Below are 18,719 nucleotides of genomic sequence, written 5' to 3'. Positions count from 1 at the left end.
CTTTTAAACCAATATTTTAATTAAAACCTACTAGTAGGCTGCAGTAATACTGAAGTGGTTTTGACTGTATCATGGATTAGCATAGAGGTGGGGCACTTTACTCTTTAGAAGTTGAAAAAGAAAGTCTGGTAGCTTCTAAAAAGGCAGATATGTGGCAGTAGTGAAATGTTGATAAAAGTTTAGTATGTCCCATTTCTCTTGTTCTTTTGAGAATAGTTTGAAATACTTTGGTTAATTTAAATTGGTCTAAGATATTAAGAAGGATTTTTCAAAACTCTCAAAGCTACGCCATATAAAGGAATAAAATCCAATATGAATTCACAGAATCACTTAGCTTTAAAGTAATTGATTAGTGACAAAATGTGACTTAGTTTTGCAAAAATCTAAGAAATTGGTGAATATTTTATATTTTTATATTCGTATTTAAGATGTCTTTCAGTTCTTTCTGTTATTTTTTCCTGGTGCTGTCTTGTACTGCCTCCTTATCACCTCCCTCTTCCTTTTCGTCTGCCATCTGTCGGTTTGGCTCCTTATTTCAGAGTAGGCAGGCAGGAAAGGGTTTTTGTACACAAGATAAAACTAGTGCTGTTTGGGAGCTCAGTGAGCCGGAGTGCTTTATGCAGTAACTCTGCTGACAATAAATTCCAGAAGTACCATAGGCCCATAGGACTAGAAAGACAGCAATGATTCTGCAATATTGTCTGCAATTTTTTTTCTGTGACTGTTGCTTTATTTAATAAAAAAAATTTAAAAATAAATAATACTTAAACACTTTTTTTCACAGAGAGCTATAAATTGGTTAGATATTGTTAACAGACTTGCAAATAAGAGTAATTATTATATAGGAGAGCTTAGCATGTTGATTACTTGTGAAGTTCATGTCAAATGATTCCTTATGGTATTCTAGAAATATAATTTGATGTTAGTAAATTAATACTCACTTGTGCCTGACTCTGGATTAATCTATTATGGGAATAGGTAGATACTATGATAATTCAATTCCCATACAGCATTTTTTCTTATCTTTTTATTATAGTATATTTTAAATATATATTAACATAAAAGTAGAGGGAATAGTATAAAGAGCTCCCATGTACCCAATATTGAACTTCAAGAATTATCAACTCATAGGCAGTCTTGTTTCATCTATATTTCTATCTAGCACCCCTCATCCCCAATCCTTGGATTGTTGTTGTTATTATTATTTGAGACAGAGTCTCGCTGTGTCACCCACACTGGAGTGTAGTGGCGCGAACTTGGCTGACTGCAACCTCCAACTCCTGGGTTCAAGCGACTCTCGTGCCTCAGCCTCCCAAGTAGCTGGGATTACAGGCATGTGCTGCCCCGCCCGGCTAATTTTTGTATTTTTAGTAGAGATGCGGTTTTGTCATGTTGGCCAGGTTGGTCTCGAACTCCTTGCCTCAGGTGATCCACCTGCCTCGGCCACCCAAAGTGTTTGGATTACAGGTGTGAGCGACCACACCCGGCCTCTGGATTGTTTTAAATCAAATCCTTGACATACGTAATGTTTACCTTTCAGATATTTCAATATTGATTTTTAAAAGATAAGAGTGTCTATCTCTTTTTATAGCATAACCATAATAACATTATCATACCAAAAAATGTATAGCAAGTTCTTAATATCAAATATGAATCAGGCTTCATATTTCTCTGGTTTATAGATAGATATAGATCTATAGTTTATTTGCTTGAAGTGACATCCAAATAAGGTTCATACTTTACAGTAGTTTGGCATGTTTATTACATCATTTTAAATCTTTAGACTCTCTTCATCTCTTTTTTTTCTTATTTTTTAAAAGAAAGCAGGTTGTTTGCCCTGATAAGTTTCCCTTAGTCTCATTGCATCTCTGTAATGTCAGTTAACATGTTCTTCCTGTCTCCTGAATTTCCTGTAAATTGATAGGTTGGTTTGTATTTTTTTTTCCCTCTCAGTAAGAGTACTTCATAGGAGTGATTTTTGTTTCCATCGGGAGATATGTAAGGTCTTATGTCTCTTTGTGATGTTAGCAGCTGTTGATGATAATTGCTTAGACTTCTTAATTCATCAGTGATTGCAAAATTGTGAAATTCTATTATTCCTTCTTCATTCATGTGTTAGATGGCATTTTCTTTTTTAAGTATTTCTTCAACCCTGTAAGTTGTATGTTTAGGACACTGTATGCCAGCACTGGTACTGGGATGATTGGCAAGGTTCTGTGGTGGAATTCCTTTAAAGGAAGAGTGCAAGTCTTCATTATTGATAATTTGGGAATGTTGAATAAATACACTTTATTTAAAGGATGTTGGTAAATAAATAGGTTAAAATCTCATCATGAAATAAATAGCTTGTGACTTAGAGTATGGAGCTGGTCACTGATGTTTGTTCTTTTTAAGAGGACAATGTTGATATTCAGAAATTTCAAAAGTAATTTGTGCAGGGCAGTAGTTACTAGTTTCTTGAGCCAGATTTCTCAGCATGAACTTGAGAACAGACCTTTTGTGTGAATCAGATTAATAAAATATTGAGTTTACATAAGACAGCATATTTTTATTAAAAGCTGTCAAAGAACTGGAGCAGCAGCATTTCCCAATGTGGCTCCTTGACAAAAGGGCTCTGGAGTCGAATAAACTTGGGAAACAATGTGTACTTTATTCTCTCTTGGAATGTCAAGTACATATTAACATGTAAAAGACTTACAGTAAAGAAGCCTGTTTAACATTAAATTAGTATTTTCCAAATTTATTTGATCTCTGAACCTTTTTTCCTCCTTATAACATCTTGAGGAACTAGTGATCTGAGGAACAAGTTTTGGGAAATGTTAGGTATATGGTTTGGCTGTGTCCCCACCCAAATCTTATCTTGAATTTTAGTTCCCATAATCCCTACGTGTGGGGGGAGGGACCCGGTGGGAGGTAAATGAATCGTGGGGATGGTTACCCTCATGCTGTTTTCCTGATAGTGAGTTCTCATGAGATCTGATGGTTTTAAAAGGGGCTTTCCCCCCTTTTGCTAGGCACTTCTCCTTCTTGCCCCCATGTGAAGAAGGATGTGTTTGCTAACCCCTTCTGCCATGATTGTAAGTTTTCTGAGGCCTTTCCAGCCCTGTGGAACTGTGAGGCAATTAAACCTCTTTCCTTTATAAATTACCCAGTCTTGGGTATTTCTTCACAGCAGCATGAGACCGGACTAACATGTTAGGTTAGAGGATTTGAACAGAGTAAAAAAAATATATCCAACCATGAAGAGTGTGTTTGACTTCACTACAGTGATATGGAGAAACTTTTGATAGGTAAATAAGACATTTTTCAGTGAGAAAAAGCCAGAGGCAAATGTTGGTTCATTGTTTCATCTTAGCCTGTAAGCATTACACTTTTAGAGAGGCAAGGTTAGAAAAGGACTTCATCAGTCACTATGTAACATTTACTACATCCAGGCACGGTTTTCATTACTTTACACAACCTTCTGCAGTAGGCATACTCTTGTTATACCTATTTTATAGATGAGGAAACTGAGGCACAGAAAGATTAAGTAAATTGTTCAAGGTTACATTGCAGAGTTAGTGACATAGCAAAGCCAGGATCTAAACCTAGGTAGCCTGGCTTCAGGTTTCATGTGCATAGTATAGTCACTACTCTATATTGCAAGATATGGAAGGTGGAGAGCGTGAAATATAAATTAGATTAAGAGGGGATTTAAAGTCTTTTTGGAGGGAACGGACATATTTAACTTTTAGACAATCAGAGCCATAAGAGACGAATGTGGAGAGTTGGCTACGTCCTAGTGAAGATAGAAAGCATGAAGACCTGGGAACCATTATCCATAAAACAAGGTATACTTCTAGGGGAGGTAGATTAGATGCAGGTAGAAGGCTGAGTTAAGAGGACACTGTTAATACAGAATTTCAGATTTAGAAATGCTTTGGAACTCATTTAGGACCCCACTCATTTTATACATGAGATCTGAGGTTATACAGTTTTATTCATGAACTTGTAATAATCATAGCTCACATTAGTACATTGCATTAAAATACTTTCATATGAATTCTTATTTGATCCTCTTAACAATTTTGAGACGTAGACAGGTAGGTTTCATATTTTCCACAGCAGAGCTGATTCTTGGATTTAAATTTTCTGCATCTTGAAAGCTAATGTTGGCCGTGTGTGGTGGCTCACGCCTGTAATCCCAGCACTTTGGGAGGCCGAGGCGGGCAGATAACTTGAGGCCAGGAGTTCAAGACCAGCCTGGCCAACATGGCAAAACCCTGTCTCTACTAAAAATACAAAAACTAGTACAAAAAGTAGCTGGATGTGATGGTGCACGCCTGTAATCCCAGCTACTCGGGTGGCTAAGGTATGAGAATTGCTAGAAACTGGGAGGTGGAAGTTGTGGTGAGCTATTGTGTCACTGCACTCCAGCATGGGCAGCAGAGCCAGACTGTATCTCAAAAAAACAAAAACCTCCAACCCCCTCCCCCACCCACAAAGCTAATGTTGTCTATACTAAATCACATTGCCTTAGTTCTTGGCAAATAACATGTATTAAAGAAGAGTAGTGTGTGCTCTTGAGATGAGGATTTGGGTCACAAAGAAAAGTTGCATTTTAACAAATGGAAATAACTCCCTTCTAAGTGTGAAAAGTAATATATTTGTTGTAAAAAATGATTTTTAGATAGTGGGAAAGGTGAAAACCATCTGTAATCCCACCACACAGAATAATCATTGTTAAATTATGATGTATAGTTGTCCAGATTTTTAATAGGTCTATTTATATACAGAAATACTCTTTTCCAAATTCTGTACATATAGTTTTATAACTTAAAATACTGTACTCTTTTTTTGTTGTTGTTTGTTTTTTGTTTTTTGAGATGGAGTTTTGCGCTTGTCACCCAGGCTGGAGTGCAATGGTGCGATCTCAGCTCACTGCAACCTCTGCCTCCTGGGTTCAAGCCATTCTCCTGCCTCAGCCTCCCAAGTAGCTGGGATTACTGGCACCCGCCACCATGCCCTGCTAATTTTTGCATTTTTTGTAGAGACGGGGTTTCACCAGGCTGGTCTCAAACTCCTGACCTCAGGTGATCCACCTGCCTCGGCCTCCCAAAGTGCTGGGATTACAGGCGCGAGCCACCATACCTGGACAAAATGCTGTATTCTTGAAAGAGGACATTGATAGGCATTTGATCTCCTGCCTCTGCCACAGTAAAATGGTACATACAGAAACACAGGCATACAATGGTAATGTCCTGGGCAAACTGGGATGGATAGTTTCCTCTCCTCTTCTTCCCACACTAATAGCTGACCTGTTAGTAAAGGCTAGGTGAGTAGGTAAAAAATTATTTGGGGTTAGGTTAATTTAAGGAGACAATGAGTAGTGTAAATCTTCATTTTATTGTTTTTTCTTTAGACTTTGGGGTTATTGATTATTTTTTGGGTTGATATTAAAAAAAAACCCTTTCGCACTATCCTAGATTAAAAGATAAGTAACTCAGATTTTGTAAACATTAAGAAGAATAAAGTGTGGCTCTTTTGGAGTAATCTATGTATGGGCTCTTTTAGTGTGTGTACTTACGAGTTTGTGTGTGTGTGTGTGTGTGTGTGTGTGTGTGTGTGTGTCCATCTCTGATTATCAGTACTGTTGTAGTGGTGGGAGGGAAAAGAACCTGTTGTGTTGTAAAATGGATTTTTGTACTTGAAGTCAATTCTTGAGAAACCACCTGTAGATTCTTTAGCAAATCTTCCTGATTTATTGACAATATCTAATAATTTGCTTTGTTAATCATTCTCTCTGCCCAAGCAGATTTTTATGAAGGTCTTATTTTGAAAATCTTCTTTTTGAGGATTGGCAATATGTTTCATTTATGTATCTCAATATCGTTGATTGTAAGTTGATGGTAAGGTGTGTGTTTTTAGCTATTCTAGTTCCTTACTCTTTCCACTTAAAATTTTAAAATAAGGTTGCTTATAACTCCAAAAAAATCTTTCTGGTATTTTGTTAAGTATTACATTCAATTTATAGATCAATTTGGGGGACAGTTGACATTTTATAATATTTAGTCTTCGAATCTAGGAATGTGGCATGTCTTTCCATCTATTTTGATTATCTTTGATTTCTTTCCTTAATAATTTTTTCGTTTATTATTTTTATTTTTTCTTTATAATTTTTAGCATGTAGATCCTGTTCGTTTTGTTAAATTTGTACCTATGTCTTTTATTTAAAAATGTTTAAAAACCTTTTTTAATCAAAGTATAATATACATTCATAGAAGTGAAGCTTACTAGTGTGCAGCTTCATGAGTTCCACAGGGATGGATTTATTTTCATATTCTGCTTATTTTTTGTCAACCTGAGAGATTCTCAGGAGGGAGTTAGATACAGTTCAAGATGAGGAAACAGGAGAAACTTCCCATTTCCTTTTGAATCAGATCTTTATAGTGTGACTTCAGTGTGTTGTGTGAAAGTGAATTCTCAAGGCAATAGATGTATTCAAAGAAAAGTAAGCCCATACACATTTCCAAATCAGTTTGGCCTTTTAGATTTTCCCTGCTAAAACTTACCTCCAGTCATGTTACAATACAGATTTGCCTAGATATTTTCTAACATAGGAATTCCTACTGTTTTGAAACAATGGAAATGTGGGTTGAAGATTTAAGAGATGGAAGGTTGTGTCTTCCTATGATTTTTGGTGAACCAGGCTATTCGCTGCCCTTTAGCTTCCTTCTGTGTAATTTGTAAAAACACAACCCTAAGTAAACTTGTCATCTTGCTGTCTGGCTTTTCTCTTACTTGTAGGAAGGGTAGGCAACTTAGTGTCTATGTTTATGGGAACAGTGTTTTTCTGCCAGCTCATTTTTGAGCGAGAGTTACAAATCTGGCTCTAAATTTATAGAGATGGATTCACTGTAATTACTTAAAAATGATTATGTTGTAAGGAAATTAAAAGTAAGATTTGTTTAATACAGATACTCCTGGGAATGAATGAGTTTATTACATATGCTCCATCAGGAAGAACATGGTTAACAATAGAAAAACCATGTTTATCATTTAATTCCTATGTATACTTTCATTGTCAAAGATAACCTTTGTTTTTTCCTTTCTGTTTTTTTTTTTTTTTTTTTGGAGACGGAGTCTCACTGAGTCGCCCAGGCTGGAGTACAGTGGCGCGATCTCGGCTCACTGCAAGCTCCACCTTCTGGGTTCACGCCATTCTCCTGCCTCAGCCTCCTGAGTAGCTGGGACTACAGGCACCTGCCACCACACCCGGCTAATTTTGTATAATTTTAGGAGAGACGGGGTTTCACCATGTTAGCCAGGATGGTCTCGATCTCCCGACCTCGTGATCTGCCCGTCTCGGCCGCCGAAAGTGCTGGGATTACAGGCGTGAGCCACCGCGCCCGGCCCCTTTCATCTTTTATGTTACCGGGGCTCAGCTGTGCCTGATTCAGCTGTTTCTATACTCCTCCCCAAATTCTGATTTTGAAAATTTCTCAGATTTATAGAAAAAATGAAGAATAGCGCTTTTCACCTAGATTCACAAATTGCAACATTTTGGTGCAACTGCTTTTTTCCTCCCCTCTAAACATGCATACATTTTGCTTTAAGTGAGACTAATTTGTAGTCATCATGATCCTCCCTGTCCTCTCCCAGTACATTGGCATGTATCTTCTAAGAAGAAGGACATTCTCCAACTTAACCACAATACTTTTATCACACCGATGGAAAATAACATTAATTCATTGTCACCTAATATGCAACATTTGTGTTTAAATCTTTCTTGTTTCCCACATATCTTTTATAGTTGCTTTTTGTTTTTTTCGGGTCCAGGATCCAATCACATTCATATATTGCTTTTGGTGTTTATGTTTCTTTAAATCTAGAGTAAACCCCAGCCTTTTTTTTTCCCAAATGACATTAACTTTATTGAATAATCTAGGCCAGTTGTCTTATACAATGTCCTACAATGTGAATTTGCCTCTTGGTTCTTTAATATCACATATTCAAGTTAAACATTTGCTGCATTAACACTATGTAGGTGATGTTATGTACTCCTTAAATCACCTCAGGAGGCACTCAGTGCCATTTTCCTTCTTTATAGGTAATGCTAAATTTGATTGCTTAAGGTGGTGACTATCACCAGATTATTTCTTTGCAAATGTACACTTTTTTCCCCTTTGTAATTAATAAACAATTAGGTGGTGGTATTTTGAGATCACGTGAAAGTTGTCTCTCCTACAACGCTTTCCCATTGGTTTTAGCATCCATAGAAAACTATCTTTGCCCTTTTTTTAAATTAAAAAAAAGAAGCAATATATGCAAATGTTAAGAAACTTACATAGTATAAAAAAGGTTATAGCAAAAGATATATCTCCCTTTCATTCATTCATACTGTATCTTCATTTTCCTAGTTTTTCCCAGAGTTAACTGTCATTGGTTTCTTATGTGTCTTCCAGAGATTTTCAACCACTCTAGTAATGCATTCATATATATAGCCCCTCTTTTTTTTTATTTTTACACAAATGGCTTATTTCATGAAACATAATAGTTTAAAGATCTCCTCATAGTATATATCAAAATTTCATTTCTTTTTATGGCTGAGTACTATTTCAGTGTATGTGTATACACCACATTTTGTTTATCCATTCATCTGTTGATGGACAATTGGTCTATTTCTGCCTTTTGATTATTATGAATAATGCTCCTATTAACATTGGTGTACAAATATCTGTTTGAGTCTCTGCTTTTAATTCTTTTGTATGTATACTTTGATGTGGGTGCTTGGTCTGCATCTTAATGTATTTTTAACTTAGTATATCATAGTAATCATTTTCAACTTAATACATTCCAAATAATTGTAGATCTTCCTCATTCATTTTAATGACTGCCTTGAATTCTAGTATATGTGTATAATTTATTTAACCAGTTTATTATTTGTGGACTTTAGATTGTTTCCTGGCTGGGTGCAGTGGCTCACACCTGTAATCACAGCACTTTGGGAGGCTGAGGCAGGATTGCTTAAACCCAGGGGTTCGAGACTAGTCTGGGCAACATAGTGAGACCTTATCTCTATTTTAAAAAAGCAGAAAACAAAAAACGTCATTTCCCCTTTTCATTGCTTTTATTACTTTTTTTTTTTTTTTTGCTATTCTAAACAAGGCTGCAATGAATAGGATATTTCTTAGTTTAAACAGTACTTTGTTTCTTGATTAAAACTACACTAAGAAAATGTTGACTGAGCCTAGTCCTGCTGAGTATACCTTCTAAATGTCCTTAAAATTCAACTCCGTACAAGTTCAATATATTGTTCCTCTTTTATTTTAGGCCCATATTTCTCAACTCAACTTTTGCAGTGGCCCAGGATTGGTCTGTTGTGTCCTGGCCATTCTTTCTCTTCATTATCTTAGTGTTATCCACAGCTCCTGATGTGTAGCCTTGTTATGGGAACATTATCATATTGTACTGTAATTGCTTATGTATCTTTATATGCTTTGAGGTTCTGAGTCTTTTAGGAGCACTGCTTTGTATGCAGTGGAATTTACTATGGATAAATCTTGCACATTCTTGTTAGGTTGTTTGTAGTGGTAAGTCAGAATACCTTTATTAAAATTAACACATAATTACAGATTTAGAAAAATGTACAAATAGGACTGACCCTTGGTTCATTAGAATATACTAGGGGTTCATGCCTTTATTTTTGTTTATTTTTTGATGAAGAGGTTAAAGGTAACTTTGAAGCCAGTCAGTGGTTGATACTATTGTGTCTTCCCCCTCCATCCCTATTTCTTTTGATACCATTAACTCTTTCAGATAATCTTTTGAATTTTATTTTTTTCTCCTTAAAATCATACTCATATGTAAGTATTCTGTGACTATTTGAGGAGCTAGCCAGAGTACTTACTTCTGATATTTTTGCTATTTCTTCATTTTTTATTTTAGGGAGGCCATAAGAATGAGTTCTTGAAGTATCAATTGGATATAACATTGGGAGTTCTGTGAGGATAAATTTACTAAAAATGTTGATTGTCATGATGTAGGCTTTCCTTTATAGTTGCTAACAGATTGATGGTTCTAAAGACATGGGAGGTGATTTTTTTCTACAGACAATATGATAAGGACCCTCAGGATCTTCATTCCTCTAGAAAGTATACTTCTGTTGACATCTAGTGTCTGCTTTGTGGCCACTGGTCAGCTGCAAATTAAGGTATTTGTGTGTGCTGACATTTCTGTTTGCATTTCTGGATTAATTGTATCTATTACCGTAACAGACTGTTGAACTTGACAAGTGGATAACTTACTTTACTCTTTTTTTTCCCCAAAGATCCTTTCGTTAAAAAGTATATTGATGAGCAGTGTACAGTGGCTCACGCCTGTAATTCCAGCACTTTGGGAGGCTGAGACAGGAGGATTGCTTGAGGCCAGGAGTTTGAGACCAGCCTTGGCAACATAGTGAGACCTTGTCTCTGGAAAAAAGAAAAAAATTAGCTGAGTGGTAGCATGTGCTTGTAGTCCTAGCTACTCAGGATGCTGAGGCAGGAGGATCACTTGGACCCAGGAGTTCAAGGCTCCAGTGAGCTGTGATTGTGCCACTGCAGTCTAATCTAGGCAACAGAGCAAGACCCTGTTTCTTTGAGGAAAGAAAAAGTACGTTGATGTTCTAAAAAAGAAACCACCCAAGTTTGATAGCAGCCGTTATTCAGAATCATTACATTGAAAACAAAATCATTAAAAACATAATAAATTTGCTTATAGCTGCTTGTCACAAACTTTTTGTACTAGGACATTGTAGTGATGTATTTTTTTTTTTTTGTCAACTAGAATTACTATAATGTTATGCTAAACTTCCATAAAGGAATACAAAAGAAGAAACTTAAAATAGCTGATGTTACTTACCTTTAGGGGATATATGATGAACAATTAGAGACCATATAGGGTAACAACTAATATTTATTTTCAAAGTAGTTCCTTGTGACAGATACAGAAATTCCAAGATAAGAAAGATAATTGAGGGTTAAGGTTGTTCAAGCAGGTTTAATTTGGGCAGGGGGCGGGGGAGGTAGGATTTGAATTAGTAACTGTAGGAAGTATAAGTGGAAAGGAAGGGGCGGGCATTACAGAGGACAACAGCATGAGTGGGGGCACAAAGGTAGGATTGAACATATCTCAACTGAGTGATGTAGGAATTGGTAGGAATTCCTACCTGACTAGAGCAGAGACAGTTGGGGAGTGTGGTGTGGTAAAATTTATTAGGTTGGTGGGGACAGTTGATTGTGAACCTTAAGCAGACTAAGTGATTTTAAGCCTGGGGAGCTATCTACATCAGTGAGGGTCCTGACAGGAAATAAATGGACTAGTTGTAGAGTTTTGGGAAGGGTTAAGGAGAGCAGCAGAGTATTGTCATGTTCCCAAGGCCTAACACTATTGGGAAGCCATTAGTACACTTTTAAGTCTGAGGGGAAAAGAAGAGGAACACTGGAAACTGATGAGAGCTGGAGCAATGGAAGCCAAGCTAGTGGTCAGGACCTGTAGCCCTAGAGGAAATGGCTTTGTGAGGTGGGAAGGGAGCTAGAGAAATGAAAACCCCAATTTCTTTTACTTCTCATCCTCCCATTTCCTCCTATGTGTGCCTCTCAATGGCCCAATGCAACTGGAAGTAAGAAGAGAACTTGGGCAGTGTAATGCCAGAGGACAGCCTCACAGGGTGCAAAGCAGAGCTTGAAGGGTAGAGAATAGGCTTGATTTGAGGAGGTTGGGGGCAAATAGAGAATGCCTAGTCCAGGACCCATTTTAAATTATTGCAAATTTATAAAGTAGGGTAGTGTTATAATGAAAATGCTCTTGGAGGAAGATTTGGTTTAGTGGATTTTGAGCCTTAAAAAAATCACTCAGGCCGGGTGTGGTGGCTCATGCCTGTAATCCCAGCACTTTGGGAGGCCGAGGTGGGTGGATCACCAGGTCAGGAATTCAAGACCAGTCTGGCCAACATGGTGAAACCCTGTCTCTACTAAAAATATAAAACTTAGCCGGGCGCGGTGGCGCATGCCTGTAATCCCAGCTGTTTGGGAGGCTGAGGCAGGAGAATTGAAGAGTGAGCTGAGATCACACCACTGCACTCCAGCCTGGATGACAGAGCAAGACTGTCTCGGAGTGGGTGGGGGCAATCTCTCTCTGGGCAGAGTTCCAACTTACAACAACAAAGGCAGAATGCAATCTATTATCTGATTTATCCTTATAGCCCCCACTGTAACTAATTTTGTTATTTCTCCGTAGACTTGTTAGACCAGAATTAATTCCTCTTCTACAATGTTCTGAGCCCTTGCAGTGAGAAAGCTAGGGTGCCAGTGGCTGAAAGGGACAAAAGAGTAGGGCAGAGTACCAGCCTTGCAAAGCATGAGTCTGGTTGTGGGGTGGATGGAGCAGTAGTGATGAAGACAGGTACGCAAATAATAACAAACCAGGCAGAGTATGATAAATGTACATGTGTGTAAGCAAAAGTAAGAGAGTTAGAGGAGGAAGTGAGTAAATCTGTGTTGGTGAGCGTAGGGTGATTACAACATGAAAAGCTTCATGGAAGAAGTCACCTTTGAGATAGGCCTTTGAAGGAAAAGTGTGGATTTTGACAGGTAAAGATTATGTAGGTGAGGTGGGAAGATTGCTTCAGCCTAGGAGCTTGAGGGTGCACTGAGCTATGACTGCACCTGTGAATAGCCACTGCACTCTAGCCTGGGCAACAGAGCAAGACCCTATCTCAAAGAGAAAAAAAAAAAACCACTTGTGTTCTGCAGAAATGCTCATCAGAGGTGATTTGGGAGGTATCTGTAGTGATGATGAGTTAAGCTTTAGCAATGAACAGGAAGTGGTTGATGTTAAGAAAAAATATATACTGAGAAGAAAAAGGAGGTTCTAGAACTTTTGGGAATACCAGCATTGGGTGGACAAGAGGCAGGGCCTGCAAGTAATTGGGTTTTGTTTGTTTTTTTTTTTTTGTTTTGAGATAGGGTCTTGCTCTGTTTCCCAGGCTGTAGTGCAGTGGCATGATCATGGCTTGCTGCAGCTTTGACCTCCCAGGCTCAGGCAATCCTCCTGCCTCAGCTTCCCAAGTAGCTAGGACCACAGAAGCGTACCACTATACATGGCTAACTTATTTTTTGTAGAAATGGGGTCTCCCTGTATTGCCCAGGGTGGTCTTGAACTGCTGACCTCAAGCAGTCCTCCTGCCTCAGCCTCCAAAAGTGCTGGGATTGTAGGCCTCAGCCATAGTGTCTGACCTTTTGTTTGTTTTTGGTCAGCTTTGATGAGGTATAATTAACATACCATAAATTCACCATTTTAAGACAACAGTTTGATAAATGTTAATACAGTTATGTAACTACCACCACAATCATCATATAGTCTCTTTTCATCATACCCAGAAAGTTCCCTTTTATGTCTTGGCTGTAATCTTCTCCACCTGTTCCTTAGCCATTAGCAACAACTGATGTGCTTTTTATCACCGTGGTTTTTACTCTAGAATTTCATGCAGCTAGAACCATAGTTATGTAGTCTTTGTGTCTGGCTTATTTCGCTTAGCATAATGCTTTTGAGATTCATCCATGTTGAATCTCCAAATAATGAATAATAATGCTTATTATTCATTTTGCTTGTAATGAATAACCATTGTGTTGTTTGAATCAGTCGTTCATTCCTTTTTATTACTGAGTAGTATGCCATTGTATGCATATATTATGATGTACCTATTCATTCATCAGATGATGGACAGTCGAGTTTCCAGTTTTTGGCTATTATGAATAAAGACGCTATAAATACTGATGACCAGGTCTTTATGTAATCATGTATTCTCATTTTTCTGGGCAAATACCTAAGGAGTAGAATTGTTGCATATGTGCTAAGTACAGCGTGTGTTTATGATAAACTGCCAAGCAGTTTCCCATGTCACATTTCTACCAGCAGTGTATGAGAGTTCTACACACTGGTGGTGACATCCTCACCAATACCTAGTATTATCTGTGTCTTTAAATTGAGCCATTTATTGAATTTGTAATAGTATCTTGTTGTGGTTTCAATTTCCATTTCCCTACTGACTAATGGTGTTGAACATCCTTTCATGCGCTTTTTTGGCTGTTTATGTATCTTTGGTGAAGTGTCCAGATATTTTGCTCATTTTAAAAATTGAGTTTTCTTATTGAGTTGTAAGGGTTCTTTTTATATATTCTTGATACACGTCTCATTGGATATGTTTTACAAAATAGTTTCTTTCATCTTGGGGCTTGCCTTTTCATTTTCTTATTTATGTATGTGTTCATCATATCTAAGTCTTTTCATTTTCTTAACAGTGTTGTTTTTTTTTTTGAGACAGTTTTGCTCTTGTTGCCCAGGCTGGAGTGCAATGGTACGATCTCGGCTCACTGCAACTTCCACCTCCTGGGTTCAAGTGATTCTCCTGCCTCAGCCTCCCAAGTAGCTGGAATGACAGGCGCCCGCCACCATGCCCGGCTAATTTTTTGTATTTTTAGTAGAGACGGGTTTCACCATGTTGGCCAGGCTGGTTTTGAACTCCTGACCTCAGGTGATCCACCAGCCTCAGCCTCCCAAAGTGCTGGGATTACAGGCGTGAGCCACTGTGCCCGGCTAGCAATACTTTTTGAAGGACAAAAGTTTTTAATTTAGATCAGGTCTAGCTTATCAATTTATTGTGTGCTATTTAAGAAATCTTACCCAGGATTGCTAAGATTTTCTCCTATGTTTTCTTCTAGAGACTTTTTAGTTTTAGCTCTTACGTTTCGGTCTGTGAATCATTTTGAGTTGATTTTTGTATATGGTATGAAATTAGGGTCAAGGTTTATTTTTCCTGTTTGCATATTCAGTTGGTCCAGCACCTTTTGTTGAAAAGATTATCCTTTTCCTATTAAACTGCCTTGACACTTTAGATAAGCATCAGTTGGCCATATATATGTGGGTCTATTTCTGTACCCTCAGTTCTGTTCTGTTGATCTATCTTGATGAAAGTACCACTATCTTGTTGCCACTACCACGTCTTGATTACTAGTTACTAGTTTTATATTAATAATAAGCTTAAAAGTCAGATAATGTACATCTTTAATGTTTTCTCTATCAGTTAGAATTGTTTTGCTATTCTCAGTCCATTGCCTTCCTGCCTTGCAAGTTTCTGAGACTGTGAAAAGTGTTTTGCTTCTTTTGTTACCCAATTGAGATCATTTAATAATCTTGAAAGAGTGGTTAGGAGGAATGTATTTTATCATAGCAACAAGACTTTTAAGAAGGAACTGAATTGGCAATTGGTTCATTAAAACCTTCTGAGGTTTTAATTTCTAAAAAGTTAGTATGGGGCTGGGCGTGTTGGCTCACGCCTATAATCCTAGCACTTTAGGAGGCAGAGGTGGGAGGATAGCTTGAGCCCAGCAGTTCAAGGCTTCAGTGAATTATGATTGTGTCGCTGCCACTCCAGCCTGGGCATCAGAACCAGACCCTGTGTCAAAAAAAAAAGAGAGAAAAAAAGAGCATGATATACACCACGATGTTGATAAGAAGCAGCATGATTTAGTGGTTAAGGGGTCACCTGGCAGACTAGTCTGGTTTGAATCCTTACTCTATCAATTACTGGCAGTTGTGACCTTGGGCTATTTAGCCTCTCTGTACCTCCACTTCCCTTCCTGGAAAATGGGGATAATACAAGTACTTTTTTCTTTTTATTAGTTTTTTAAATTTAAATTTTATTTTATTTTTTGAGACAGGGTTGCTCACTTTGTTGCCCAGGGGCACAATTATGGCTCACTGCAGCCTCGTAGGCTTAAGCGATCCTCCCATCTCAGCCTCCCAAGTTGCTGAGACTATAGGGGTGCACCACTATGCCTGCCAAATTATTTTTTGTAGAGATGGGGTCTCATTATGTCACCCAGGCTAGTCTCAAACTCCTGGGCTCAAGTGAGCCTCCCACCTTGGCCTCCCGAAGTGTTGGGATTATAGGCATGAGCCACCACACGCAGCCCCTATTTTATAGAGTTGCTCTGAAGAGTAAATAATACATGTATTTTCTGCCACATAGAAAGTGCTTCAGTGAATTGTAACTGCTATTATTGCTTTGTTCACCTAGAGAATGCTAAAAGCTTCAGAATTTGATAAACTCACTTATAGGAACTTAAACTTACTTGCAGTAACTCGTTTATTTCAGTTTTAGAAAGATAGTTGTAGTGCTGATTGGTTTTTTTCCAGTTCCTTGGTAGTTTTCTAACCTTTCTTTTCATTGGTGAATCTTTGGTAATTTATGTATGTATGTCAGTTTGGATTTGTGCATTGTACCAGGAGTGGAAAAAAAACAATTGGCTTTTAGTGTTATAAATTTTTACCTTAAATTAATAAACAAAACAAAACTGCAGTTTTTCCTTTGCCAATATTTAGCTGGTTGATCAGGATTGTGAACTGGTGGTTCTAGAATGCAAGTGAAAACCCATTAGTTTGATTTGATTTTGTCTGTAGTTCTTTACTCACCGAATAGGCACGTCTGTTTCCAGGTTTATTTGACTAGTTCTCATTATTGATGTAGCAAAAACAATTTGCCAGCAAACTCAGCAAATCTTTTCCTTTTCTAAGTGTACTTTCTTAAATAGCAATAATAACAACGAAAAAGTTTTTTCTTTTTTAGCAGGAGTTCAATTTTGCACAGCTAACCATTGATAATTTGTGTGGTTTAATGAATAAGAGTACCAACATCAATCATTCAGCTGAATGAAGCCTTCTAGAAGTACATGTGGCAGGAGTGGGGAGACCTGGACCACAGTGTACATTTAAGTTTCAGTTATAGAACTTTGCAAATGGGCTCTTCCTCCTGCACTTTCAGAAATGCCCTTGAGAAGTCTTTATTGACACTTTCTCTTATGATTCTCTAAGTACTGTGTATTGGGGGAGACATGGGTTGGTAGACGTCGAGAGTTCAGTTTTAAACATGATGTGTTAGAGATTCCTTTGGTACATCTGAGTGGGTATATCATGCTGGCAGTGGATGTCCAGGTCTGGAGCTCAGGAGAAGTTTTGACTGGATTCATTAGCATATGAGATAGGTAAAAGCCTTGGGAGTTGCTGGGATCCAAAAATGTATGTACATGAAGAGGAGGAGACTGAAGTGGACTGCAGATAGAATCCCTAGGATATATCCACTGTGGTACCACCACACTTGCACTTGCTCACATTAGGTCAGTTCAGAGTAAGATAATATGTGAGATTAAATTATATTCAATATGCATAATGGACTACCTGGATTCAGATTGCTTAGCTTAATTCAGGAAATATTTATTGAGCTCCCTCTATGTGCTTTACCTATGCTAATAAACACTAGGGATATAAGCAAAATCGATACTGCCTCTGCTCTGATAGTCTTTATAGACTAATGTGAAAGATTGTCTTTGCTGTTTTTACTCACAGCACTTCTGACAACAAGTGTGTGAGTTTTTTGCGTACACCAATCAGTTCTTCAACTTTCCAGATACCAACGGGCTGTCCCTGCAGTTCATTTCCATTCTGACACTATCCAGAGTTAGCATCAGACTACACAGGTTTAAGGGCTCAGTCCCACAAGACTACTCATACTTCAGATGCCAGTTGCATGTATTGAGTCCCACACTTCTGAATTGCCTACAAACGGGGGAGTTCCTACAACTACCCCCTCACCTTTGAGTAATTTGCTAGAATGGCTCACAGAACACGGGAAATATCCTATTTACAATGACTGGTTTATTATAAATGATACAACTCAGGAATAACCAAATGGGAGAGATGCATAGGGCAAGATACAGGGGGTAGGGGCATGGAGTTTCTATGCCTTTTCCTGACATGCCACCCTCCCAGCATCTTGATGTGTTCACCAACCTGAAAGCTTTCTGAACCCTGTCTAGGGGTTTTTATGGAAGCTGCATTACGTAGGCTTGGTTGATTAAATCGTTGACCATTGGTGATTAACTCTATCTCCACCCCTTTTCCTCTCCCTTGAGGTCTGGTGGTGGAACTGAAAGTTCCAACACTTTTATCACTTGGTTGGTTTCTCTGGCAACCAGCCTTCATCCTGAAGCTATCTAAGGGCCCACTAAGAGTCACCTCATTAGCATAAACTCAGGTATGGTTGAAAGGGGCTTGTTACGAATAACAAAAGATGCTCCTATTCCCCTATCACAAAGGAAATTACGAACACCAAGTATGTATTTCTTATGCCACAAATGGACATTAAACAAATCGCACAAATTATATATAATTGCAAACCATGCAAGGTGCTATGAAGGTAAAGTACTGGATGCTGTGTGAACATTTTGGGAGAGACCTAATCTCACATGGGTATAGTCAGGGATACCTTCCCAGAGGAAGTGACATTTAATTCAGCTAGTGATACTGTTACTGAGTACCTAATTAATATCTCTGGTACTGTACTGTTTAAACTGATATCTTGTGACTAAACATTAACTGGGTGAAAGAGGATGGAATGGAGAAGGCAGGCTCTAAATAAAGAGAACTGCCTGTGCAAAGTTCCTGAAATACAAAGGAGCATAGTGCCTTCCAGGAGTTAAGGATCTCAGGCGTCTATAGAAGAGAGAGCAAGGGGAGAGGTCAGTTCTTGGCCTTCTTGTCAGAGGAGAGATTTTGTTCTTTAGAGTAAACCTATTCTTCAGAAAAATTTTAAACTCTTCCCCTTTGAAACAGACTTCATTAACTTTTTATTACAGAAAAAT

At 38.1% G+C, this 18,719-nt stretch overlaps 1 protein-coding gene across 41 annotated transcripts in view, besides 2 other annotated features; it reads left to right on the top strand.

The window, feature by feature from the left end:
• The window catches only part of HERC1 (HECT and RLD domain containing E3 ubiquitin protein ligase family member 1), a 225,331-nt gene that overhangs the window by 15,027 nt on the left and 191,585 nt on the right, over positions 1–18,719 (top strand). The window lies entirely within an intron of this gene.
• Positions 2,467–3,228: an enhancer, noted in NCBI's record as "OCT4-NANOG hESC enhancer chr15:64107893-64108654 (GRCh37/hg19 assembly coordinates)". NCBI's record gives its function as "activates a minimal SCP1, AML or CMV promoter by ChIP-STARR-seq in naive H9 embryonic stem cells {active_cell/tissue: H9 hESC(naive)}" and the evidence as "EXISTENCE:reporter gene assay evidence [ECO:0000049][PMID:30033119]".
• Positions 16,724–16,913: a silencer, noted in NCBI's record as "silent region_6522". NCBI's record gives its function as "represses an Ori minimal core promoter by ATAC-STARR-seq in GM12878 lymphoblastoid cells {active_cell/tissue: GM12878}" and the evidence as "EXISTENCE:reporter gene assay evidence [ECO:0000049][PMID:35858748]".

Source organism: Homo sapiens, chromosome 15 (genome assembly GCF_000001405.40).
Source record: "Homo sapiens chromosome 15, GRCh38.p14 Primary Assembly".
NCBI lineage: Eukaryota > Metazoa > Chordata > Mammalia > Primates > Hominidae > Homo > Homo sapiens.
Note: the sequence above shows the minus strand (reverse complement) of the source record. Positions and strands in the feature narration are given on the sequence as shown.